This window comes from Homo sapiens, chromosome 11 (assembly GCF_000001405.40).
Source record: "Homo sapiens chromosome 11, GRCh38.p14 Primary Assembly".
Classification (NCBI taxonomy): domain Eukaryota; kingdom Metazoa; phylum Chordata; class Mammalia; order Primates; family Hominidae; genus Homo; species Homo sapiens.
In genome coordinates this window covers 18,080,292-18,106,094 of record NC_000011.10, presented here as the reverse complement: position 1 = coordinate 18,106,094, position 25,803 = coordinate 18,080,292, and the positions used below count along the sequence as shown (strand labels likewise).

The 25,803-nt window shown below is 39.1% G+C and overlaps 1 protein-coding gene across 1 annotated transcript, besides 1 other annotated feature; it reads left to right on the top strand.

Annotated features, from left to right (window-relative positions):
• Positions 8–267: an enhancer, noted in NCBI's record as "active region_4490". NCBI's record gives its function as "activates an Ori minimal core promoter by ATAC-STARR-seq in GM12878 lymphoblastoid cells {active_cell/tissue: GM12878}" and the evidence as "EXISTENCE:reporter gene assay evidence [ECO:0000049][PMID:35858748]".
• Positions 13–25,803, top strand: SAAL1 (serum amyloid A like 1). Its single transcript, NM_138421.3, has 12 exons — positions 13–188; positions 2,749–2,862; positions 9,241–9,324; positions 13,771–13,850; positions 15,602–15,661; positions 15,805–15,920; positions 16,585–16,765; positions 18,870–18,952; positions 19,041–19,229; positions 22,364–22,560; positions 24,592–24,684; positions 25,604–25,803. Exons 1-12 carry the CDS (start codon positions 54–56, stop codon positions 25,694–25,696), a joined length of 1,425 nt encoding a protein of 474 aa, NP_612430.2. The 5' UTR covers positions 13–53; the 3' UTR covers positions 25,697–25,803.

Sequence of the window (25,803 nt, the reverse complement as noted above, 5' to 3'; positions counted from 1 at the left end):
CGTCTCCTCCGCAGCTTCCGGCACGGCCTTCAAGCGCGGGACGCGACAAAGTCATGGACCGCAACCCCTCGCCGCCGCCGCCGGGTCGCGACAAGGAGGAGGAGGAGGAGGTGGCCGGTGGAGACTGCATAGGGAGCACGGTCTACAGCAAACACTGGCTCTTCGGCGTCCTCAGCGGACTCATCCAGGTGTGGAAACTCGCGCCACGCGTGGGGTGTCCCTACATCCCCCAGGCACCGGGGCTCCGCCTCTGGCGAATCCTCCTGCCCCGGGAGCCGCCATCCCCACAAAGACCCCTCCCCAGGCGTGCGCTGCGGGACCTTGCTCCTTGCGTTTCGCCGGCCGCTGCGGACCCCAAAACTATCTGGGCCCCCTCGGGGTCTCTCGACACAAAGGGAAGTATAATGGTAGGGATGCTGAAATACTTGCCGTTCTATTTTGCTTTCCCAAGTTCTCCAAAAATACATGATCGTGTAACTGCATTCCTCGGGTTTTGCTCCCCATCCCCACTGTCATTTCTGAAGCCCAGGTCCTTAATTTATGTATTTCATGGACTATCGTTGTAATAGAATAAATGGTGACTTTAGGGTTATACAACTTTTATATTAAAAACGTGGCTTCTGACCAGGCGCGGTGGCTCACCTCTGTAATCCCAACACTTTGGGAGGCCGAGGCGGAAGGATCGCTTGAGCCAGGAGTTTGAGACCAGCCTGGGCAACATAGACCTGGTTTCTACAAACTTAAAAAAAAAAAAAAAAAAAAGCCGGTCGTGACGGTGCACGCCTGTAGTCCCAGCGACTCAGGAGGCTGAGGCTGGAGGATCGCTTGAGCCTGAAGTTGGAGGCTGCAGTGAGCTATGATCCAGCTTCTGCACTCCAGGCTGGGGGACGGAGTAAGACCCTGTCTCAAAAAAACAAAAAACGCAGCTTCCTTACCCACTAGCTGCAGGTCACCTAACGGCTCAGAACCTCTATTTGTCCCTTAATTTCTATAAAATGGGATTATAATATTTATATTATATATAAGGTTATTGTGTAGGTTAAGTGAGATTATAATGGCAACAGAGTGCTTAGCATGGTGTTTGGCTTATAGGAGGCTGTCAGTAAATGTGTTTTCTTCCCCCCATGTTTCCCTAATTGGTTCCTCTCCTCCTATTGTCTATCCTCTCCAGTCAATTTTCTACACAGCTGCCAGAATAATCTTCTTTAAAGACAGGGCTATTCATGATACTGCTCTTAGTTCTTTTTGCCTGGGAGAAAAATGCATGTTTCTTGAAGTTTGGAATCCAGGGCTGTTTGTACATTTTCCAGCCTCATCTTCTCATGATACACTGTGTTCCATCAACTCTGAACTGTTCACCATCCCCAAACATGCTAGGCCCTTTCTTAACTCTGAACTCTTGTGCTTTCCTCTGAATACTCACTTCTCTCCTTCTTCACATGACAAACTACTATTCTTCCTTTAAAATTTAGCTTAAATATCAGCACCTAAGGGAAGGTTCCCCATCTTCTCCTAGGAATAGGTCATTGGTCCATCGTTTTTGCTACCAGAACTCTTTGTCCACAATTCAGTTGAATCACTTTGCCTTTTCTAATATGACTATCCCTTTACATGTCTTTCCCCACTAGATCCTAAAAGTTAAAAAAAAAAAAAAGCTTAAATGTAAGGGATTATATCTTACTTGTCTTTGTATATCTACCCCAGTGCCTAGCAACAGTATTTACTTTGTGAATGTTGAAAGAGTAGATCTACCCAAGGTACTACATTTTTAAAAGAAGATTTTTGCAAGAGAAGATACTTTGCTGATAGCCTCTTTGTGACTTCTAAACGATTATGGGTTAATATTAAAGTAAGTGCTCACTTAACATCAGTAGGTTCTTGGAAATTGTGACTGTAAGCAAAATTACTGATAATGAAACCAATTTTACCATAGCTAATTGATATAAACAAGAGTTAAGTCCCTGTGGCATATTTCTGGACACAAGAACATCACCAAACTTCTAAATGAGGACCTAAAACACTTCTAATATTAAACATTGAGATAAATGTGAGCTATAATACGTTTAGGAAAGGTTAATAAAAACAAGATAATTATTCACCCAGTTTTGGTGAGTTAGTGAGTGATGGTGGTTGTAGTGATTATCACTACAACCTTTATTCTTTGATTGTGTTAAATCAAGGAATAAATGTTTACAAAGCAAAAATGATCACCTCTTACTACTGTACAGTCCAAAAACAATAACAAATAAGGCAGGCTTACTGAGCACTTTCCTACCACATAATTATTGTCACGCATCTCTATGGTTATTGTCTTCTTTACAGATTTTTGTTTTATAATAATTTGTATTCATCCATTTCCCAACCCACTTGCTCTGGTTCAGGGTTGAGGGTGGCTGGAGCCTGTACCAGCAGTTCAAGGTGCAAGGCAGAAACCAGCCCTGGACAGGATGCCATCCCATCACAGGTACACACACACCCACACTCACTCAGATTGGGACCATTTAGATACCCGTTGTGCTAATGTGCAAATTTGGGGGATGTAGGAGGAAACTAAAGTACCTGGAACAGACTCATGCACTCTTGGGGAGAACATGCAAACTCCACACAGACAGTGGCCCTGGCCAGGAATCAAATTTTTTTCTCATCAGCGTTACGAGGAAATGTTATTTGATCACCTGCTGTATTTGGGTACCTGGTTAGTATTGTAGACAACTTTTATTCATGTTTTCTTTCTTTGTGTTTCTGAAGATTGTTAGCCCTGAAAACACCAAATCTAGCTCAGATGATGAGGAGCAGCTGACGGAGCTTGATGAAGAAATGGAGAATGAAATTTGCAGAGTATGGGATATGTCAATGGATGAGGTATGAGGCTGGAAACAAAACTCTGAAGACTGTTGGGTGAGGAGATGGTGAATGAATGTTTTAAAAACGGTTCAGTCCTTCACTCTGGGGAAAGGCTTTATCTCCTGTCTGTAATCACACCCATATATGATATAGGGAATGAGATCCCAGGGGCTATAAATGCTAAACTTCTGTCTTTGAGGCTGGAGGATTTGAGCTCTCAACAGATTCGGACTAAATACGTAGCTCTTATGAATGTATTCCTATACACATGTAGGCCGGGAAAGTTCTGATACTTACCTACCTAAAGAGAGCTCTGGCCATATATTTGACAGCAGGTTAGGAGTTAGAAGACCACTGATATACCATGATAATATTAGAAGGAAAGGACAATAAATAATTATATGTCTGTAATTGCAGTATTAATCATAGTGTTTTAATATCTGTATTTTATTCTATAGCTCAAAAGCATTTTCATATATAGTATTCTATTTGATCTTCACAATAACCCTGTGATGTAGGTAGTACCCTTATTTTACAGTTAAGAAAATAGAGGCCAAAAGACATTAAATGACCTATGTAATCTTTCTTGTTTTATTACCTGGACTTTAGCAATAGCTTCCTGATTAAAATCCTTGTTTTAGTCTCTTTCACCTCCCTTCTGTCCTCTACATTGCCACCCGTGTTACCTTTTTTTCCGGAAATACAGACTTAATTGTACTCATTTTCTTAAAAATTGTCAATGGCTATTCATTGTTTCAGTCATTTTATTTAAAACTTTATTGAGGTATAATTAACACCAAAAAACTGCATATTGTTTTGAAGTATCATTGACATTGATTTTTTTTTTTTTTTTGAGATGGAGTCTCTATCACCTAGGCTGGAGTACAGTGGTGCGATCTCAGCTCACTGCAATCTCCGCCTCGAGGGCTCAAGTGATTCTCCTGCCATAGCGTCCAGAGTAGCTGGGAGTACAGGTGTGAGCCACCAATCCCTGCGAATTTTTATATTTTTAGTGGAGACAGGGTTTTACCCTGTTGGCGAGGCTGGTCTTGAACTGCTGACCTCAAATGATCCATCCTCCTCGGCCTCCCAAAGTGCTGGGATTATAGGAGTGAGTCACCGCACCCAGCCAATAAACTTTGACGGATGTGTACGCAGATTAAGCTGTCACTGTAATCAGGATACAGCGCATACCCATCACCCCTGAAAGTTTCTTTATGGTCCTTGGTAGTCTCTTCCTCTTGCCTCTCCATTCCTCCATCCCCTCCAGGCAACCACTGATCTGCTTTCTGTCACTACAGATTAGTATGTATTCTAGAGTTTTATATGAATGTGCTCATATGCTTTTTTTGGTCTGGCTCTTTTATACAGCATAATTATTTTGAGATTCATCCATGTTGTGTATATCAGTGGCTTTTTTTTTTTTTTTTATTGCTGAATGGTATTCCATTATATGTATATACCACAATTTATTTTTTACCTGTTGATGAATGTTGGAGTTGTTTAAGGCTTATTACAGATAAAGCTGTTGTGAACTTTTGTATACAAGTGTGTATGGACATATACTTTGTTTTTCCTTGGGTGAATACCTAGAGTGGTGTGTTAGTCCATTCTCATACTGCTATAAGGAAATACCTGAGACTGGGTAATTTATGAAGGAAAGAGGTTTAATTGACTCTCAGTTCAGTATGGCTGGGGAGGCCTCAGGAGACTTACAATCATGGCAGAAGGGGAAGGGGAAGCAGGCACCTTATTCACACGGTGGCAGGAAGGAGAAGTGCGAGCAGGGGAAATGCCAGACGCTTATAAAACTATCAGATCTCATGAGACTCACTCATTATCATGAGAACAGCATGGGGGAAACCACCCCCGTGATTCACTTACCTCCACCTAGTCTTGCCCTTGATACGTGGGGATTATGGGGATTGCAATTCAAGGTCAGATTTAGGAGGGGACACAGAGCCAGACCATATATCAAGTGGCATGGCTGGATCATACGGTAGGTGTATGCTTAACTTTTTAAGAAACTTTCAATTTGTTTTCCTAAGCAGTTTTTTACCATTTTACATAACCACAAGCAGTGTATGAGACATAATTCCAGGTCCAATTTCTCCTCAACCTCACCAACACTTAGTATGGTCAGTCTTCTTAATTTTAGCCATGCTAATAAGTATGTAATGATAGCTCATTGTGATTATAATTTGGACTTCCTTAATTCCTAATGATGAGCATCTTTTCATGTGTTTATTTGTACTCTGTGTATCTTTTTTGGTGAAGTACCTGTTTGAATCTTCTGCCTGCTTTTTAATTGTGTTGTTTTCTTACATTTTCTTCTAAAAGTTTTATAATTTTAGGTTTTACATATAAGTCTGTGATCCATTTTGAGTTGATTTTTGTATAGTATATGGTGCAAGGATGGATGAAGTTTATTTTTTTGCTTATGGATATTTAATTGTTCAAGTTCATTTGTTGAAAAGACGATCCTTTCTCCACTAATTGCTTTTGTGTCTTTGTCAAAAATCAGTTGTCCACATACTTTATAGTTTGAAATCTTTTCTTTTTAAAGATAGACATCAAGCACTATAGAATTTTCCCTAAATATTTATGCTTTACCAGTATTCCACAATTTCTGATATGCTGTGTTTACAATTTTTTTTGAGACAGAGTCTCGCTCTGTATTTTTTGTAGAGATGGGGTTTTGCCATGTTGGCCAGGCTGGTCTTGAACTCCTGGCCTCAAGTGATCCCCCTGCCCCGGCCTCCCAAAGTGCTGGGATTACAGGCGTGAGCCACCATGCCCGCAGAAGTTCAGAATACTTTCTAATATTCTTTACTTTTTCTTTGGTTTATAGGTAAGTTTCAAATATTTGGGAATGTTTCAGTTATCTTTCTCTTGCTGTGGTTGGTGAACACTGAATCCTTTTAAATGTGTTGAGATTTGTTTTATAGCCCAGAATATGGTTTTAAGTAAACCTGAAATATTTACCATGTTGACTTAAAAAGCATGTGTGTTCTGCTGTTGCTGGGTGGAATATCTTATTCTCAATGTCAGATCAGGTTGGTTGAGAGTATTGTTCAGATCTACTTTCTATTCTACAATTATTGATAAATTATGGTTAAACAAATTTTTTTAAAAAGAAATAAAACCTGTGTTTTAAATGAACTCTTAGGGTGAAAGTCTCAGTTTTAAAATTGAGAAAACAGCGCTACTGTTTGAAGGAGGTTATTGGTGCAGGGCAAAGTCATGTTCTTTGGCCTCCTTTTGCTCCCTTACAAGAGGTGCCCTTGAGGCACCACTCAGAACTGAGCTCTCCACTGACAATTGAGGTCCCTGGCGCAAAGTCTGGTGAGTTTATATCTCAGTCTTGTCGCCTATCGTTCTGTAACCATGAATTCAGTGTGCGAGGACCAGAGACCTCCAGATACTTCCTGCACTTTCACGTGTCCATGGGCACTATTCATGCCGCTCTGCTTAGAATGGCTTCCAGCTGGCAAAATCCTTCTCATTGTTTATGGCCCGGCTTCAATGTCACCTCCTCTGTGATGCCACCCCAGACACTCCAGTCAGAATTAACCTGTCTTGTTTTGGTGTTCCCACAGAATTGCTTCACTCTGTTACATGTGTCCTCTGATGGATTTAAATTCCTTCTCATCAAAGCATAATGTCACCCCTTCTGAAATGCCTTCTTTTCAATGTCATGTCTAAAGTAGCCCGCTTTATCTTGGTTTCTAGCACATATCTTATTTTCTTTGTAGCATTTAGAAATTGTGTAGTTTAGTTGTTTTATATTTATTGTTTGTTCATTTCTTTAGAATGAAAATTCCATGGGACTGAGCCCTTATTTAGCTTGTTCACTGATGTATCCCCAGAACCTAAAACAGTGCCTATTAGGTTTTTCAGAAAATATTTGGGGAGTAATGAATGAATAGATGAATACCTGAGAGGTAGCATGTTGTGCTGGTTAAGAACATAGTCTCGCTGGGTACTTGCCTGTATTCCCAGCTATTTGGGAGGCTGAGGCAGGAGGATCACTTGAGCCCAGTAGTTGGAGGCTGCAGTGAGCTATGATAATGCCTGTGAATCTGTGAATAGCCACTGCTCCAGTATGGACAGGATAGCAAGACCCCCATCTCTTTTAAAAAACAAGACCATAGGCTCAAATCAGACTCATGGGTTCAAATCCTAGCTTTGCTCTGCTGAGACTGTATAATCTTGGGCAGGTTGCTACACTTTTTAAACTTCAGTTTGCTTATGAGTGTAATGGGGCTAACAATGATAACTAGTTGATAGAGTTGTTTTGAGAATTAAATGAGATAGCATGCAAGCCACTTCACTGTGCCTGGCATTTAATACTTGTTCAATGAATGTTAATTTTATTACTGTTGGTGTTGATATTGTTAGGCCACCCTTGTGCTACTCCAGGAATTACCATTAAATTTAAAAATTTCTGCATGTGGCAAAGAATTGCCCACAGGACAGCTTGATCACTTACAGTGAAGAGAATCTGCCATTATGACTTTCAGTTTAGAGTGTATCTTTGAAAATACTATTTTCTCTGACCATGGTCCTTTAGTAAGTAGAGTGTGTCTCTCTCAGTCAGTTGTCTGGCAGGTTACTGGTTTCACTTGCTGTGGAGAATAATTGCCTGTCTCTTTGAGATGTTCCAGGGCCCTTAATTTTCACATAAGCCATGCAGCTTATATTTTAAGTTAAGGCTTCTCAAATACACACCTCACATTTAGTGAAAATCTGAAGCAGTGGACAGCCAGAGACTTAATTTTATTTATATATTTTACATTGCAGGTCCCCAAGCAAACTGACTTAGCTTTTGTGTCTTACATTCCTAGGTGAGATTTGGCTCATTTGGGGCCACATGTCCACTCACATGTCACCTGTGTGTTACGCCCCTTTAGGCACTGTGGCAGACTCTGTAGGAAGAAGTTATGAGGCTGCCACAGTTACATTGTGATCAGAATTTTTATTCTATTGATGATTTTGAAAACACAAATTCTGGTTTTGGACAGGACCCAATAGCAGTTCTTGACTTCTTTCCCCTACCGTGTTTTAAGCTCTTGGAGGACAAGAAGGAATTTTGTTTTTGTTTGAGACAAAGTCTCACTCTGTCGCCCAGGCTAGAGTGCAGTGGCGAGATCTCAGCTCACTGCACCCTCTGCCTCACGGGTTCAAGCAATCCTTCCACCTCAGCCTCCTGAGTAGGTGGGACTACAGATGGTACACCACCATGCCCAGCTAATTTTTGTATTGTTTGTAGAGATGGCGTTTCACTATGTTTGCCTAGGCTGGTCTCGAACTCCTGGGCTCAAGTGATCCGCCTGTCCTGGCCTCCCAAAGTGTTAGGATTACAGGCGTGAGCCACCTCGCCCAGCCAAGTTTTACCTTTTTTTTTTTTTTCCTTTTTTTCTCGCTGTGTTGCCCAGGCTGGAGTACAGTGGCAAAGTCATGGCTCACTGCAACCTTGAGCTCCCCAGGCTCAAGTGATCCTCCCACCTCAACCTCCCAAGTAGCTGGGACTGCAGGCATGTGCCACCACACCTGGCTAATTTTCGTATTTTTTGTGGATATGGGTTTTCACTATGTTTGCCCAAGCTGGGCTCAAGTAATCCACCCACCTCGGCCTTCTAACCAGCCTCCCAAAGTGTTAGGATTACAGGTGTGAACCACTGCGCCCAGCGTGTTGCTTTTTTCCCTTGTCCCCCGCTTCTAGTTTAATACCTGATAGGTAATCACCAAATGTGTTTGAATGTGTTTAATGAGAATTCCTAGTGGGCAGAAAAATTATTAAGGTAAATAGATTCGGGCAGAAAAGAGTGGGATAATCCTCTGGAGTATTGTAGGTAGTTTAGATTTGTTTATGAAATTGTTCCATTGTCTGGGACTAGTTACCATAAAGACTCTCTAACATCACTTTTGTCTGTTGACACAGTTCCTAAGCCTGTGTTTTTTTTTTCTTGTGTCTAAAATTCTAATTTTATTTTATTTTTTTATTTTTTTTGGAGACAGAGTCTCGCTCTGTCACCCAGGCTGGAGTGCAGTGGCGTGATCTCAGCTCACTGCAACCTCTGCCTCCCGGGTTCTAGCGATTCGCCTGCCTCAGCCTCCTGAGTAGCTGGGACTACAGGTGCATGCCGCCATGCCCGGCTAATTTTTTTGTATTTTTAGTAGAGACAGGGTTTCACCGTGTTGCCCAGCTGGTCTTGAACTCCTGAGCTCAGGCAATCTGCCAGCCTTGGCCTCCCAATGTGCTAGGATTACAGGTGTCAGCCACTGCGCCTGGCGTAAAATTCTAATTTTAATATAGAATTTTATGGTTGCCTGAGCTTTAGGGTTTAGGGAGGAATATTCAACATCCAAGTTAATAATCATTTTTCTTTTCAGGACGTGGCTTTATTTCTCCAAGAATTTAATGCTCCTGATATATTCATGGGAGTACTGGCCAAGTCCAAGTGTCCTCGATTAAGAGTAAGTATGTACATTTCTAAAGCCTTCTTCTTTGAAGCAATAAGAACAGATAGTGCTGGATAGTCTTTTATTTTTCTCACTTTGATTTTCTTACTGACCATAAATCAACAAATCAGCCTGTAGATGTTAATTGAACATTGCCAGGTCCTAGGTAATTTGCTATTTAAATTTATTTTATTTTATTTTTGAGACAGGGTCTCACTATGTCTCCAGGGCTTGGAGTGCAGTGGCGTGATCACGGCTCACTGCAGTCTTGACCTCCTGGGCTCAAGGGACCCTCCCACCTCAGCCTCCCAAGTAACTGGGAGTATAGGTGTAAGCCACCACACCCAGCTAATTTTTATTTTTATTTTGTGGAGACAAAGGTCTCCTTATGTTGCCCAGGCTGGTCTTGAACTCCTGGCCTCAAGTGATCCTCCCACCTTGGCCTCCCAAAGTGCTGGGATTATAAGCGTGAGCTAAATGCCTGTAATAATTTAAAATATTAAATTATTAATAATTTAATAATTTAAAATTATGAAAATCATAGAATTTTAGATTCAGGCCGGACCAGGGAAATTAGCACTTTCATTTACCAGCTGTGGAGACGAGTTAGGCATAACCACTGTTATGCTGCTAGTATGTATCAGAACAAGGAACAGAGCCTGGGCCTCCCATTTTTCAGTTGATTTCTCTTTTTTACTGACAAAATCCACCATTGCTTGAAAACCATTCTAAACTCAGCCTGCTGCTTAAGACCTCTACTCTCTGAACCTAACTCATCTTTCCAGCATAAAATCTGGATAGCCAGGTAACCCTTCTGATTTAGCCAGACCTTTCTACTCCCTGTCTCATGCTGTCTCCGTGCCTCCCTTTGTGTGCCTTCTGTCCCCTCTCAGTATTTGCATCTGTTAATTCACAGTGGTACTTTTCCTTCCACACCTTCCCAAGTAAGTAAGTAAGCTTTCAGTAGTCATTGCTGTTAGTAAACTGCCAAGAACAATAGATAAAGACTAAAGGAGAGGCCTTTATATACTGTGCAGTGTACTGTGCTTTATTGCCAATTAAATTGCCATGTGCTATGCATATCATGGATTAGTAAATATCTGTTCAATAATTATAATTATGAAAAACTGCTGTTTACTGAATACCTGGTCTTACTACTATGAGGTATACTTTCAAAGAACTAAATCTTGGGTGAAGATATGTGTTCAGGGTCACACAGCTAGGAAAGAATGGAGCTGAGATTTCAGCCTAGGCCTGACTTCAGTATAACCACTGTACTGTATTTCCTCTCTTTCAGATTATAAAATGGAGAATTCCATAGTGTATTTTTACAAATTGAATGTTGAATTAGAATTCTTATTTAAGTAGAATGTTCTCTCTGAATTAGGGCCTGATTAACCGTTTTTTCCTTGATTCCTTATATTAATATAAGATTTGATGATTATGCTATTTTTATACTGAGTTTTTCTGTCTTAAATATATTTACTCACTACTAGTATATAAAGAAATAAGCTTATGTCAGGAATGGCACCTTTTAGGAATTAGTCATATTGTTGTATTATATCCGCTGGCCACCGTCTGCTGCCACAGTGATTCTCAGCCTTGGCTGCATGTTAGAATCACCTGGGACAGGGACTCTCAAACTTAAGCATGTCCCCGCATCACTAATTGCCGAGCCTCCCTCCAGAGTTTCTAGTCCAGTAGGTCCAGGATTCCTAATATGTTCCCAGGTGATGCTGGTGCTCTGGTGCATTGCCACACTCTGAGAAGCTTTACCCTAGGGAACTTTTGAAAATCTTGGTCAGGCCATACCCTAGATGAGTTAAAGCAGAATCTCCAAGTGTGAGACTCTGGGCAGCTTTTAAAGTTCCCCAGGTGATTCCAGTGAACAGCCAAGAAAAACTTGATCTTTGATTGGAAGTTCAGTTATTCCCTCTTTAGTTTATAAGGGAAATGTATGTGGTTTTTTTCTGCCCCTACTCACTCTTAATCTTTTCCCAACATTTGACCACCCACTTTTTATTGAAATTCCATTTCTATAGCTCCTGTGTCACCTCACTGTCGTCTCTGACCTCTTCAGTCACTCGTCTCTCACCTTTCATTGGCTTTTTTCTTTCTTCCTTTTTTATACTGTCCCGAATATGGACTTTTTCTAAGGTGTAGGCCCTGATCCTTTGTTCTCATTATATTCATTTTCCTAGTGAACTTATGTGTTCTTTACACCTTTAAGTTGCAACTCTGCCTGTAGGAGCAAAGCCTCGACTTCCCTTCTGATAACTGATGTCACATCTCCAACTTTGTTCAGGCATTCTCTGCTTGCACGCTCTACAGTTGTCCCTTGGTATACATGGGGGATGGTTGCAAGACATTCCCCCATACTGAAATCCACACATACTCAATTTAGCAGTCAGCTCTGTGGAACCTGTGTGTATGAAAAGTCAGCTCTGCATATTGTGCAGGTTTTGCATCTTGAGGACACTGTATTTTCAGTCCAAGTTTGGTTAGAAAAAATCCACCTATGAGTGGACCCACACATTCAAACCTGTGTTCAAGGGTCAGCTGTACTCTCTAACCCTGAATTCTGTATGTCCTCAGTGATTTATGGTCACACTTATCTAATCATAAAAGTCACCTGGTATATGCTGGGTAAACAATAGCTTTCCAGGCTCTACCCTGGAAATTATGATTCAGTAGATCTGAGATGAGATTTGGAAATCTGTATTTTTAACAAGCTCCCTGAGTGATTCTTATGTTCCAGCAAGGTTGGAAACACTGTACCATCTGAACTCATTGTAGCCTTTTATGCACTTTCTTTTTTAGTTTTCCTGTCAACGGGACCAATATCACTGATGGGGAAATGAGGCAACTTGAAAGCTAGGAGTCAAGTTCAACTGCTTTCTCCTTTATCCTCACACTGGATTATTTTGCTTTCACCTTGAGAGTCTTCCTCAGCTTCATCCTTTTCCATGCCTGAGGGCCCTCCTCCTCTTGCATCTTGATAACTGAGGTGCAGTTTGGAATAGTGGTTAAATGCTCAAGCTCTGGAGCTCTGCCGTGTTCTAGTTGGAGATCTTAAGATCTTAGGCAAGTAGCTTAACTTCTCTGTGCCTTAGTTTCCTCATCTGAAAAAATGGGGATACTATTAGTACCTATCACCTAAGTTATTATATGAAATTATACACAGAAAATGCTTAGAGTAATGCCTGGCCACCGTGAGTGGTAATAAACTGTTATTACATATTAATTAACTATTACTGAGATAGATTCTTAAGTTCTTTTCAACTTCTTTTCCCTATACACTAGTCTCCCCTTATCCTTGGGGGTTGCATTCCAAGGCCCCCAATGCCTAAAACCGAGGATAGTACTGAACCCTATTTATAATATGCACAAATTTCCTTTTCCTTCTTCACAGTTTCATGGATAGATTTGTTCTTAGAGATCCTAAGCAACCTCAGCATACATTTTTGTTTGTTTTTCTTATGAAGTCAAGAACTTTTACCTTTTCATGTAAAGAAAGCACTTAATGGCGGCTCCTTGGCATATCCAAATTGCCAGCATCACTACTCTTGTGCTTTGGGGTCATTATTAAGTAAAATAAGGGTGACATGAACACAAGCCCTGTGAGATATCCCGATGGTCGATCTGATAGCCAAGATGGCTACTAAGTAACTAATGGGCAGGCAGCACATACAGTGTGGATATGTTGAACAAAAGAATGATTCACATCCTGGGTGAGACGGTGCAAGATTTCATCGTGCTGCTCAGAAAGGCATGCAATTTAAAACATGAATTGTTTATTTCTAGAATTTTCTATTTAGTACTTTTATACCAAGGTTGACCATGGGTAACTGAAACCATGGATAAAGAGGGACTACACTAATACATTATGCATTTCGCCACCAGAGTAATCTTCCTAAGATACTGTTTCAGTATGTTGTCTCCCCTCCTTGAGCATCTTCATGATTCCAAATAACTTCCCAGATTAAGTCTAATTCTTCAGCACGGCATTCAGAGCCCTTAATCTCAGTCCTTTATACCTGCAGTATTTACCTCATGCTGTTCACCCACTTTGTGCCACAACCAGAGTACTTTATTGTCTACAGTATTCGCCATGTACATGATTCCCTTCCTGCCTTTGCTGATACTTTCCCCTTATTTGAATGTCTGTCTTTTTGTTTGCATATCTCATTCCTATCAATCATTTAAAACTCATTTTATCGATAGAAGTTCTTCTCGCATAGCTCCTGCCTTTGCCCTTTCTTGTTCTTACGTTTTTCATCCCTTCTCAAATACTGTAAGCTTGTCAAGGTTAGGGTACAGGCAGTATATGTATTTCTTTATCCTGCCTCCCCTCCGCCTTGCCCCAAAACTTGGCTCAGCGAAAGTTTTTGTTCAAGTTGATATTTTTGTTTACGTCTTTCGTCTCAGAGCCATTGTGACTTGTAAAATTTGATTTGGCAGGAAATCTGTGTGGGAATTTTAGGTAATATGGCCTGTTTCCAGGAGATATGTGTGTCCATCAGCAGTGATAAAAATCTTGGGTAAGTCTTACTATATAATTATGTTTTTTAATATATTCATTTATATCCTTAAGGAAATTCTAATACATAGGAAAAGTAGCAAATCTGAAAGACAGTCCTTTCTTTGTCTTGATGAACACTCTGTGGGAACTTCATTGTGTGTTGATGATAGCTAGGGGCTTCTTCAGGAGATACTGAAATGATTCAGGATTTAAGCCTGTTTTCTTCAGTAGCAAAGGAACCTGAATTGTCAGCTGGTGGCAATAAGCCAGATAGGGGAAGAACCAGTGGGCCAAAACTTGGAGATGGGGCAGCCAACTGGAATCCAAAACAGTTTAGGGGCAGGGAATCCAATGACTCAGCTGGAGTCTACAGAAACTAGATTTGTTGAATAATGTCATCCTGAGAGCTCTGACTTAGAGTGTAAGACTTGCCAACAACTGGAAGATAAAGGGTTGCCTCTCTGATGAAAAGACTTTCAGATATCTGCTTCGAGGCTCGTTCTCTTCTCCATGTGTAAAGTTCTGGGCAGAAGGTGTTTTAATGGAGGAAACCCCAGTGGTTACTGTGTTCGGAGAACACCCCGAAATTATATGCTGAATTTTGTGAGTGTATTAGTTTTCTAGGCAAAGGGTTCATGGCTTTTAATCAGAATCTCAAAGAAATTTGTACCCAAAATAGGTTAAGAAAACTGTTCTAGGCAGTTTTTGTCAGAGCTGGGGCCATGAGGGTTTTATCACAGGATTCAAGTACCTGGGTTTCTCAGAAAGAGAGAACTCCTAGTTGTGGAGGGACTTTAAGATCCTAGTTCAGAGTATTTATTCCTCAGTAATTTACCATCATCCATGGAACAAATGACTTAAGATTATGTTTGGTCTCTAATGTTCTCTATCAAAAATCCAAAAATGAGAAATGTTAACAAATGTTATAAATTCAGTTAAATGCTTGTCTTAATATTAGTGTGGTGCAATTTATATTGCTGATGGGATATAAATTTGTTGAACCACTTTAGTTGGGCATTATCTGGTCACGTTGGAACATATGCATGTGCTGTGACCAGCTCATAGTGGGCATATATGGTAAGAGAAACTGTGCACGTGTGCATCAGGATAACTCTTAACAAATATTGTAGGAGGATTGCTTGAAATAGCCCCAAATTGGAATCAACAGAAATGTCCATCAACAGTAGTCTGGAAAAATAAATTGTGTTATTTTCACACAATGGAGTGCTCTGCAGCAGTCTGTCAAAGAATAACAGCTAAAGAAACAACATGGGTAGATCTTACATGTATAATTTTCAGCAAATAAATGAAGACTCAATAAGTATAATTTATTTCATATGTTGTCTCCCCTCCTTGACTGTCTTCATGAATCCAAATAACCTCCCAGATTATGTCTATTTATTCAGCATGTCCTCTTAATCCTTTTACCTGCAGTATAAAGCAACACCAAAATATATAAAATAATAAAACTATAGTGCAAAGTAAGGAAATGATTGCTGGAAAAATCAGAATGGTCATCATTTCTAGGTGGGAAAGAGAATTGTGATTTGGAATGGACACATGGTGACTACAAAGATGCAGCTCTGTTCTGTTTCTTGGAAACACGAGTGTTTGCTTTATAATTATTTATTAACTATAGATTTGTATCTTTTGAGCTTTTCTGAATATATGCTGTATTTCACAATAAAGATGTTCAAAAAATTAAATGAAAACTCTGATATTTTAAATGCGAGAAGTGAGGCATATCGGTTAACTTCTTTGTTTTTGTAGGCAGGTGTTATTGCACTGTTTGTATGATTCAGACCCACCTACTCTGCTGGAAACAAGCAGGTATGCTTTTCCTTTTATGAATTCTATAAGGTTACTCATAAGAGTAGATAAGAAAAAAAAGTTAATTTTTTATTTTCGAATTTCCTTTACTGTTTTTTTTTTTTTTTTGAAAAGTAGAAATTCAACCCACGTTTACCATGTAGGTTGTTGCTTACTTGCCTTTCCCAGGCAGAAGTGGCCAGTGTTTGGGTTGAAAGGATCCAGGAACATCCAGCTATTTATGATAGCATTTGCTTCATTATGTCAAGTTCAACAAATGGTAAGTCATCATGTACTCTAGAAAAAAAATGTTTTAAATTGTATCTAATTTTTAGGAAACCATGTAACTATTTCTAGAAGTCACCTTTTTAAAAAAAGCCTTGAGTGCAAGGTAATGAAGTTTGTTTGAGACAGAATCTTGCTCTGTCACCCAGGTTGGAGTGCAGTAGTGTGATCATAGCCTACTACAGCCTCAAACTCCTGATCTCAAGGTATCCTTCTGTTAATCTCCCCAATAGCTGGGACTATAGTCATGCACCGCCATGCTCAGCTCATTTTAAAATTTTTTGTAGAGACGGGGTCTCGCTTTCTTGCCCAGGCTGGTCTCCAACTCGTGTGTTCAAGCAGTCATCCAGCCTTGGGCTCCCAAAAGTGTTGGGAGTATAGGTGTAAGCCACCATGTCCAGCTTTTTGTTTGTTTTTTTGAGAAAGTTTTTTGATTGAAGATACAAAATTTCTTAAACTCCTGGGACACTGATAAATTCCTCATTTAAAAATGAGGAAAGATAAGCAAATTTAAACATAAAAGATAAGTAAATCACCCTTTAGAATAAGTACTGCTTTGGCAAGATTTGGTTTTCTTAGAATAGCTTTAGGAATTTTGCTTAACCCTATTGCTTTTAGCAGTTTGTTTTTCATTTCAATATCTGTTTTATTCTCTGCAGTTGACTTGCTGGTGAAGGTGGGGGAGGTTGTGGACAAGCTCTTTGATTTGGATGAGAAACTAATGTTAGAATGGGTCAGAAATGGGGCTGCTCAGCCTCTGGACCAACCCCAGGAAGAGTCTGAAGAGCAGCCAGTGTTTCGGCTTGTGCCCTGTATACTTGAAGCTGCCAAACAAGTACGGTAGGTGAGCTCTTTTGTGTAAAATGTTCTGGGAAAATGCAATTGCTAGAAGTATTCTCAGATATAAAAGTCTTCTTATATTCCTTACAACAGAATAAAGTACATAGTCACTCCTTGTTACGTTAATTCACTACTACTATTTGTGATGCAACCTGTATAGTGGTTACAAAGTTCCTGTTATATTATCATTTAGCTATAGGCTGTTACTCAACATTAACTGTGGTTTCTGTCTTACCATATTTTATGTAATTTAAATCAAAGAGAAAACATTTTCTTGTGCTTTATTTTACATTGAACATTTAACAACTTCATTAACGTTGCACATCATTTGCTTTTTTTTGCTCCTTGTGTTTATATGCCAGTCTTCAATAAGTGACCGATGTTGGGACTCTGATGTCTTGCCAAGAGTGATTACTAAGCCTTACAGGTCATTAAAACTGTTTATTGCTAATCACTAGAAAATTAATTTTTAAATTGATCTGCTTAGTGTTTTTCTTAGTGCATTCTTAGTGCTGAGTAAGCCACATCAAAACCTATTAATTTTGTGTCCTTTATCCAAGTGAGGGATAAATTCATCATCTTTCCCTAAACCTGCTTCATCAGTATTCTCAATCTCAGTAAATGATGTAATCATTATCCTATTTGGATAATGTAGAAGAAATGGAGAAGCCAATTACTGAATCTTTCCTGCCCCAGTATTTTCCCATTGCAGTCAACTCCCAACCCTTATTCCTGACATTTTCTGGGATTCCATCCATGCCAATCAAGCCATTATTGTTTCTCATCTGGAGAACTGCCACATTCTTTTACTTGAATTCCCTGCCTCTATGCTTGCTCTTCCCAAGCCTAGACTTTAAAGCTGTTTTTGCAAAGTACGCACTCATTTCACTCTCATGCTTCGGTCTTTTCAGTTGCCTTCCTTAGGATAAGGTCCAGAAAAACAAACAAACAAACACAGCTTGGGTACTACATACATCACCTGGGTGATGGGACCATCCATATTCCCAAACCTCAGCATCATGCATGTAACAACCCCCAACATGTACCTTCTGAATCCAAAATATAAATAAATAAAATAGGGGAAAAAAGAATGAAATAAATGAAAAATTCTCAAAAAAATAAAGTACAGCTTATGGACCCAGTAGCGCTATCCTTATTCCTTGTACTCTGCGTTTCAGTCATGTGAAGTTTGCGTCACTTCTTCAACTGAACCAGGCTGTCTTGTCTCCAGGCCCTTGCACAGTATGTTTCCTCCACCTCAGACACTTCTTTGCCCCTTCATGTTTCTGTGTAAACATCATTTTTCTTAAGATACCTTCCCTGACCCTGCAAACTAAGTCTCCTTGCTTTGTGAAGTTCCTAGCCCATAGTGCTACATTAGTACCACTTTATTGTAATTACCCCACTTGGAATCTTCTTTCCTTTTAGAGTATAAAGTTTATGAAGGTAGGGATAACATCTTATACATCTGTTTTCTCAACTCCTAACATAGTGCCTGAAATTTGTAAGTACTTAAATAAACATTTGCCAAACCATTGTTTTAATTGTTCACTGTCTTTTCACTTGTTTGGTTGAAGAACTAAGATTTTGAGTTTCCAAACTATTTAGATTTTTGAGAATCCAAACGGTTGATCATAAGAATTAGACTTACATGGTTTTAGTGTTCTCAGCTAGGGAGCTAGGTTAATCCTGAGACATTTTCAGAACATCATTATTGTTGATGCGTGATGCAGCGGACCTTAACGTTCATACTATAAAAATCGCAGTCTTTTTTTGTTCTGATTATTCAAGCAAACCAAAATGATAAAGTATCAACTGGTAGGTTTCTGCGTTGTTGCTTTTATGAGATAGAGCCAAAAAGTTTTTTTACTTCTTGTCCTGTGTGTGTTGATTATATTATATAATATTTGTTTATTTTTTGCTGTTTCCCCTATTAGAATATAAAAGCTCTAACGAACACAGAGACTTCGTTCCTTTCCTTGTTTTATCCTCAGCACCTTGAACAGTGGCTGGCAGAGTAATAAATATTTATTGAATGGAGGAATGATTGGAATCCCCTGGACAGTAAAGTTGTTGATTCAGTGCTTTTACTTTTCCTATTTAGTTCTGAAAATCCAGAATGGCTTGATGTTTACATGCACATTTTACAACTGCTTACTACAGTGGATGATGGAATTCAAGCAATTGGTAAGGTGGTTTATCGGGATGCACTACAGTTACTCATTTAATTGTTTGCTGATTTTAAAGTACTGCTTTATTTGTCCTCTTTATTAAGTACATTGTCCTGACACTGGAAAAGACATTTGGAATTTACTTTTTGACCTGGTCTGCCATGAATTCTGCCAGTCTGATGATCCACCCATCATTCTTCAAGAACAGAAAACAGTGCTAGCCTCTGTTTTTTCAGTGTTGTCTGCCATCTATGCCTCACAGACTGAGCAAGAGTATCTAAAGATAGAAAAAGGCAAGTACAGTTTCCCAGGCTCATACTGTTTTTCATTTCATTTATTTCTCCCTTTTAAAAAATGCTTTCATTTCCCTAATTATAAAAACATTACATGCTAAACTTCAAAAATTTATTTTATTATCATATTTATTTATTTTATTTTTTATTGATTTTTATTTTTTGGAAACAGAGTCTTGCTGTGTTGCACAGGCTGGAGTGCAGTGGTACAATCTTGGCTCAGTGTAACCTCTGCCTCCTGGGTTCAAGTGATTCTCGTGCCTCAGCCTCCCAAGTACCTGGGATTACAGGCGCACACCACTATGCCCAGCTAATTTTTGTATTTTTTCAGTAGAGACGGGTTTTTACCGTGTTGGCCAGGCTGGGCTCGAACTCCCGACCTCAGGTGATCCACCCACCTCGGCCTCCCAAAGTGCTGGGATTACAGGCGTGAGCCACCCCACCTGGCCTGTTTACTTATTTTAAAGCCAGAGTCTTATTTTGTTGCCCAGGCTGTAGTGCAGTGGCAGGATCATAGCTCACTGCAACCTTGAATTCCTGGGCTCAGGTGATTGTCTCACCTCAGCCTCCTGAGTAGCTGGGACTACAGGCACATGACGCCACACCTGGCTAGTTTTTAAATATTTATAGAGACAGGGTCTCACAATCTTGCCCAGGCTTGTCACAAACTCCTGGGCTCAAATGACCTTCCTGCCTTGCCTTCCAGAGTGCTGGGATTACAGGCATGAGCCACTGCACCCTGCCGAAAAATTTATAAAAAATATCAAGGAAACATGATGTTTGTAATCTTACCATCCCACACATGCACATATATTTAATTCTGCTTTTTAGCCAACATTTCATTTAGAAATATAAAATGAATATTTTCCTATATAAACACATATTCTTTCACAGAATTGTTTTTATGACCACAATTAAATTCATGATTCATTTAGAATTTATTCTCGTGTCACATGTGAAGTGTGGCTTTAATTTTTTTTCCCCCTTTGATAACTTTGGTTCTAGTGGTATCAGTTTTTTCCCAGAGGGCTACCCAGTTATCTCAACATCATTTAGTGAATAATCCAGCTTACCCACACTGATTTGAAATTTCATCATTATTTTTAAAATTCCCCTATATATTCTGTTCAGTTCCATTGCTGTATTCATATATTAGTAGCCATAGTGTTTTTAAATATTAAGGTTTTATGTTTTAATACCTAATAAGGCAAATTCCTCTTCATTCTAAGTTTTCAGAATGTTTTTAACTATTTTTATCACTAACTTTGAGTTCCAAAAACAAAAAATTTCTGACATTTTTGTTGACATCGTGTTAACTTGATAGGATATGTTATGCCCTTTTATTTGTTCAGGTCTTTTTTGTGTCCCTCAGTAATGGTTTCTTCATATGGATCTTGGATATTTCTTATTAGTTTCATTCCTAGATAATTGTATCTTTTGGGTTTACTATTGTCTGTGACATATTTTCTTCCACTGATTATTATTGTTGGAATATATGAAGGCTATTGATTTTGGTATATTAACTTTGTATCCTGTAACCTTACCAAATTCTTAATATTTTTAGTAGTCGTTCCAGTAATAATCTTTGGGCTTTATCTGATAGTGCTTTGGCTTAAGTTAGATATATTTTATCACTTGTCTATCTCTGGTTTATTCTTCTTGTCTTTCTGGGTTGCCTAGAGTCTCTGGTGTAAAATAATAGTGATGGTAGAAAACATCCTTACCTTCTTCCTGATTTTAGTAGGAATAATCCTAGAGTTCCATTGTTAAGCATTATTGGGTATAAGATATATGTTTTACAGCCAGGTGCTGTGGCTCACACCTATAATCCCAGCACTTTGGGAGGCTGAGGCGGGCAGATTACCTGAGGTCAGGAGTTCAAAGTCAGTCTGGCTAACATGGTGAAACCCTGTCTCTGCTAAAAATACAAAAATTAGCCAGGCTTGGTGACGCATGCCTGTAATCTCAGTTACTCAGAAGGCTGAGGCAGGAGAGTTGCTCGAACCTGGGAGGCAGAGGCTGCAGTGAGCTGAAATCACGCCATTGTACTCCAGCCTGGGCAGCAGAGCAATACTCCGCACCCCCCCTCCAAAAACAGATATATGTCTTACCATTTAAGGAAATATTAATCTGTTTCTATTTTATTAAGAGTTTTTAATAAAAAAGGAATGTTGAATATTTTTAAGATCTTCATTTGTAGATACGTTACCTCATTGAGAAGGTGGCATTGAGTACAGTCCTTAGGGACAGAATGGAGGGAGTCATGTGCATACTTGGGGAGAAGAACATTCCAGACAGAGGGAATGGAAAGTGTAAAAGCCTTCAACCAGAAGTATGCCTGGTGTCTTTGAGGAGGAACAGTGAGATCCCATATGGCTGGGGTGGATTTAGCAAAGTAGCACATGGAGCCAGAGAGGTAGAGTATGGAGGGCCTGATGTTGCCTTTTCCTCTGAATGAGGTGGGGAACCATGGTGGGTTTTAAGCAGAAGTTGCCTACGCATGAGCTGGCTTTAATAGGCTGCTGTTTTGATGAGAAATATGGGGAGTCATGGGTACAAAAGGGACATGAGTTAGGAGGCTTTTAGAGATTCTTCATAATTGACTCATAGCAAGAAATGTTATAACTTGGACCAAGATGGTAACAGTGGTAGTGGTAGAAAAATCCTGTGAGCTAATTTTTTTGTACTTTTTGTAAAGACACGGTTTCACCATATTGCTCAGGCTGGTCTCGAACTCCTGGGCTCAAGCTACCCGCCCATCTTGGCCTCTCAAACTGCTCAGATTACAAGCGTGAGCTACCACCCCTGACCTCCTAGGGTATTTTAATTGCTGATGCTTCATTGCTTTAGTTCTCAACTCAATGTTACCTTGTCAGAGAGCTAGCCCTGCTAGGCTGCTATATTATATTCCTCTTTTATTTCCTTCATAGAACTTAACCAAAACCTGAAATAGTCTGTTTTATTTACTTATTTGAAAGTATAAAAATGTAAGCCTCTTATGGGCTGACATCTTGCTGATGTTACCAGTGTATCTGTAATACCCAAAATAATAATGTCTAGCACTAATTCAATACATATGAATGAAAAACCAAACTTAACTGGCCAATTCCATGCTTCTTGATTTGTTTATACAGTAGATCTTCCTCTAATTGACAGCCTCATTCGGGTCTTACAAAATATGGAACAGTGTCAGAAAAAACCAGAGAACTCGGCAGAGTCTAACACAGAGGAAACTAAAAGGACTGATTTAACCCAAGATGATTTCCACTTGAAAATCTTAAAGGATATTTTATGTGAATTTCTTTCTAATATTTTTCAGGCATTAACAAAGGTAGGAAAGAAGTATTGATGATGTCATAAGCAAAAGAAAGTGTGGGTTGCTTAACGCTTCAAACTTTATTTTTTTTTAAATATGAAAGTAATATATAATTTGGGAAAATAAAGTAAAATCTTAATATCACCATGAGTTTATAATCTTAAAAACAACTAGCTGATGTGGTTTGGTATATTTACGTGTGACAGACATATGCCTATGTTTGCATGCATGTGTTTTTATAAATGCATTTTTCATATACTTTAACCCAGCATATGCAATTTTTATAGACTACTGTTTTCCCTTAACACTGTATTATAAACATTTTTCTTGATTCTAGATGAAAGACTTTTTTACTGAGAGCCAGTTTAAACCTAATTTACCAAATAATCAGTTTTCAAAATTTACTGCAAACTTCTTTTAAGGAACATTCTCCCTGAATATGTTCAATGGTTATTAATATTCTTCTTTTGACCATGTTTTTTCTATCCATATATTTGGAAAGAAATGTATTATGAATATGTTATGAATATATTGTATTATGAATATAAAATGTTATAAATATAGCTGTGAAGAATATATTTATTCATACCCACTTAATTTTTTAAAGAGTATTCCTTAAGAAGTTTCTCTTGGCCAGGCGCCTATAATCCCAGCACTTGGGAGGCTGAGGCAGGTGGATCACTTGAGCCCAGGAGTTTGAGACCAGTTTGGGCAACATGGCAAAACCTCATCTCTACAAAAAATACAAAAATTAGCTGGGCATGGTGGCACACGCCTGTGATCCTAGCTACTTGGGAGGCAAAGATGGAAGGATTGCTTGAGCCCAGGAGGTCGAGGCTGCAGTGAGCCCAGACTGTGCCACTACACTCCAACCTGAGCGACAGAGTGAGACCCTATCTCAAAAAACAAAATGAAACAAAAAGTTTCTCTTATTCTGGTGATTTTTTTTTTATTAGTTGTCTTGCTTCCCTTTTCCATATTTGTATTTTCCAGATTTGGGGTTATTACCTTAGCAGGTTTTATATAATTTAAATTACTGGATTCAACATTATAAATGTGAAGATGGCTAAGTCATGATGGCCATATTTTGTCAAAATGCTATTTATATGTGAAAATGTTGGTTTTACTTGACGCTTATTATTGGGTATTATAATTTTTATGTCAAAGTTCAGGTAATAAATTGTGTCTTACTTTGATTTGCATTTTTAAATTAATGAGATTGAAATATTTGGATGTCGTATGTTAATTTGTTTCCTACCTTTTAATAATTTATCCATTTTGATTATTTGTATGAATTTCTTGGGTAATAATGTATCTTTTCCATATTTATCGCATGTATTTTTTTCCCATTCTTTGCTGTTGTTTCTGTTTTTTGGAGCAAGGGACATCGATATTTCTTAACTTTTAAGTGGTGGGAACATCAAAGAAAGGTGGGCTGAGAATACACGAGTGCTATGTCATGCAAATTCTTATGTCATATTTAGGGGATTTAGACTTCATCTTGAAAAAGCTGAGGAACTACTAAAGATTTTTTACTTTTAAGCACCAAGTGATACGATCAGTTTAGAAAGATTACTCCAAAAGCAATAGAGAGGAAGGAGTAGAGAGAGTTGAGGCTGGAGGGCAGGAGATCAACTAACAGGCTCTTGTGGTTGGTAATCTTCAAGAATAATCTGAAAAATGATGGCAGCCTAAACAATGGAAGTTTGAATGGAGAGGAGGGATGGGGGTAAGAGAGATTTGGTAGAATAGAATTGAGCACTTGCCGGGAGGAGTCAGCAGGAGGGGAGAAGGAAAAGTCTTGGCTGTGTTCCAAGTTTGTAGTCTGTGTAGCAGGGTGGATGGTGGTGCCCTTCACTAAAGTAAAGACGACAGTGGAGAACATGTTTGGGTTACATAAGCCTCCTTGATGTTGGTGGGTTCAGGTGGGACATTTGAAATGCCTATGAAGTCAGGAGGGAATTGAATATCCTGATTTGTTTTTATTCACTAGTTAAAGCTTGAAAAATTTTCCTTTTTTGACATTAAATCTTGTTGTTGTTTTAGGAGACGGTGGCTCAGGGAGTAAAGGAAGGCCAGTTGAGCAAACAGAAGTGTTCCTCTGCATTTCAAAACCTTCTTCCTTTCTATAGCCCTGTGGTGAGTATGGGTAAATGTATATAGGTGGCCAAGTTTTGTAGGATTACTAAATGTTTTCAAGTAAGCACTTGATTTCGAGGTCATTGTCAAAAATGATAGTATATACAATTTATATGACTTAATGCCTTTGTCAGATAGATGACTGCTGGAAACAGAAAACCAAATACCGTATGTTCTCACTTGGAAGTAGGAGCTAAACCATTGGATACTATGGACATACAAATGGGAGCAGTAGACACTGGGGACCACAGGAGGAGGGGAGGGAGAGAGGGAGGGCAAGGGCTGAAAAACTACCTATTGGGTACTAAGCTCACTGCCTGGGTAACAGGTTCATCTGTGCCTCAAACCTCGGCATCATGTAATATACCTTTATAACAAACCTGCACATTTAGACTCCCCTGAGTCTACAATAAAAGTTGAGGGAAAAAAAGATGACTACTGGAAAATTCATAATAGTATTGGGAGTAACAATTCTAAGAGGAAAAAAATAAGCTCTGAATTTATAGTACTCCTTTCTGTTATGAAGTAGATAACATCTATATTAAGCCAAAATCAGATTCTTGGGAATAGTCAGTAGGTTTTTATGGTTCTTCAAATGACATCACATTTCCTACCATTAGAATCAGATTTCAAAATAGGAACTTTTTCAGGAAAATGAAGGACAGAATGTGGGAACAGACTGTAAAGAAGAGGCGGGGGGAGAAGTACTAGCTCAAGAGTAAAACGGAATGGGAAAGCATAGTCATTTCCTTGAGAATGATTTAGAAGACTGCTTAGGAAGTACTGTTACTATCATCTGGAGATCTGCCAGCATTTCTTTTCCATTGGACCATTTAGAAACCACAGGTAGAGCAATCAGTACCTTAAAGCACGTTTTTCTCTTCTGTGTTTGATTTTTGTTTGTTTGTTTGACTCACAGGTGGAAGATTTTATTAAAATCCTACGTGAAGTTGATAAGGCGCTTGCTGATGACTTGGAAAAAAACTTCCCAAGTTTGAAGGTTCAGACTTAAAACCTGAATTGGAATTACTTCTGTACAAGAAATAAACTTTATTTTTCTCACTGACAGTTGAAATTGACTTATTGGAAATATTAACTAAAGCCCATATTAGACCATAA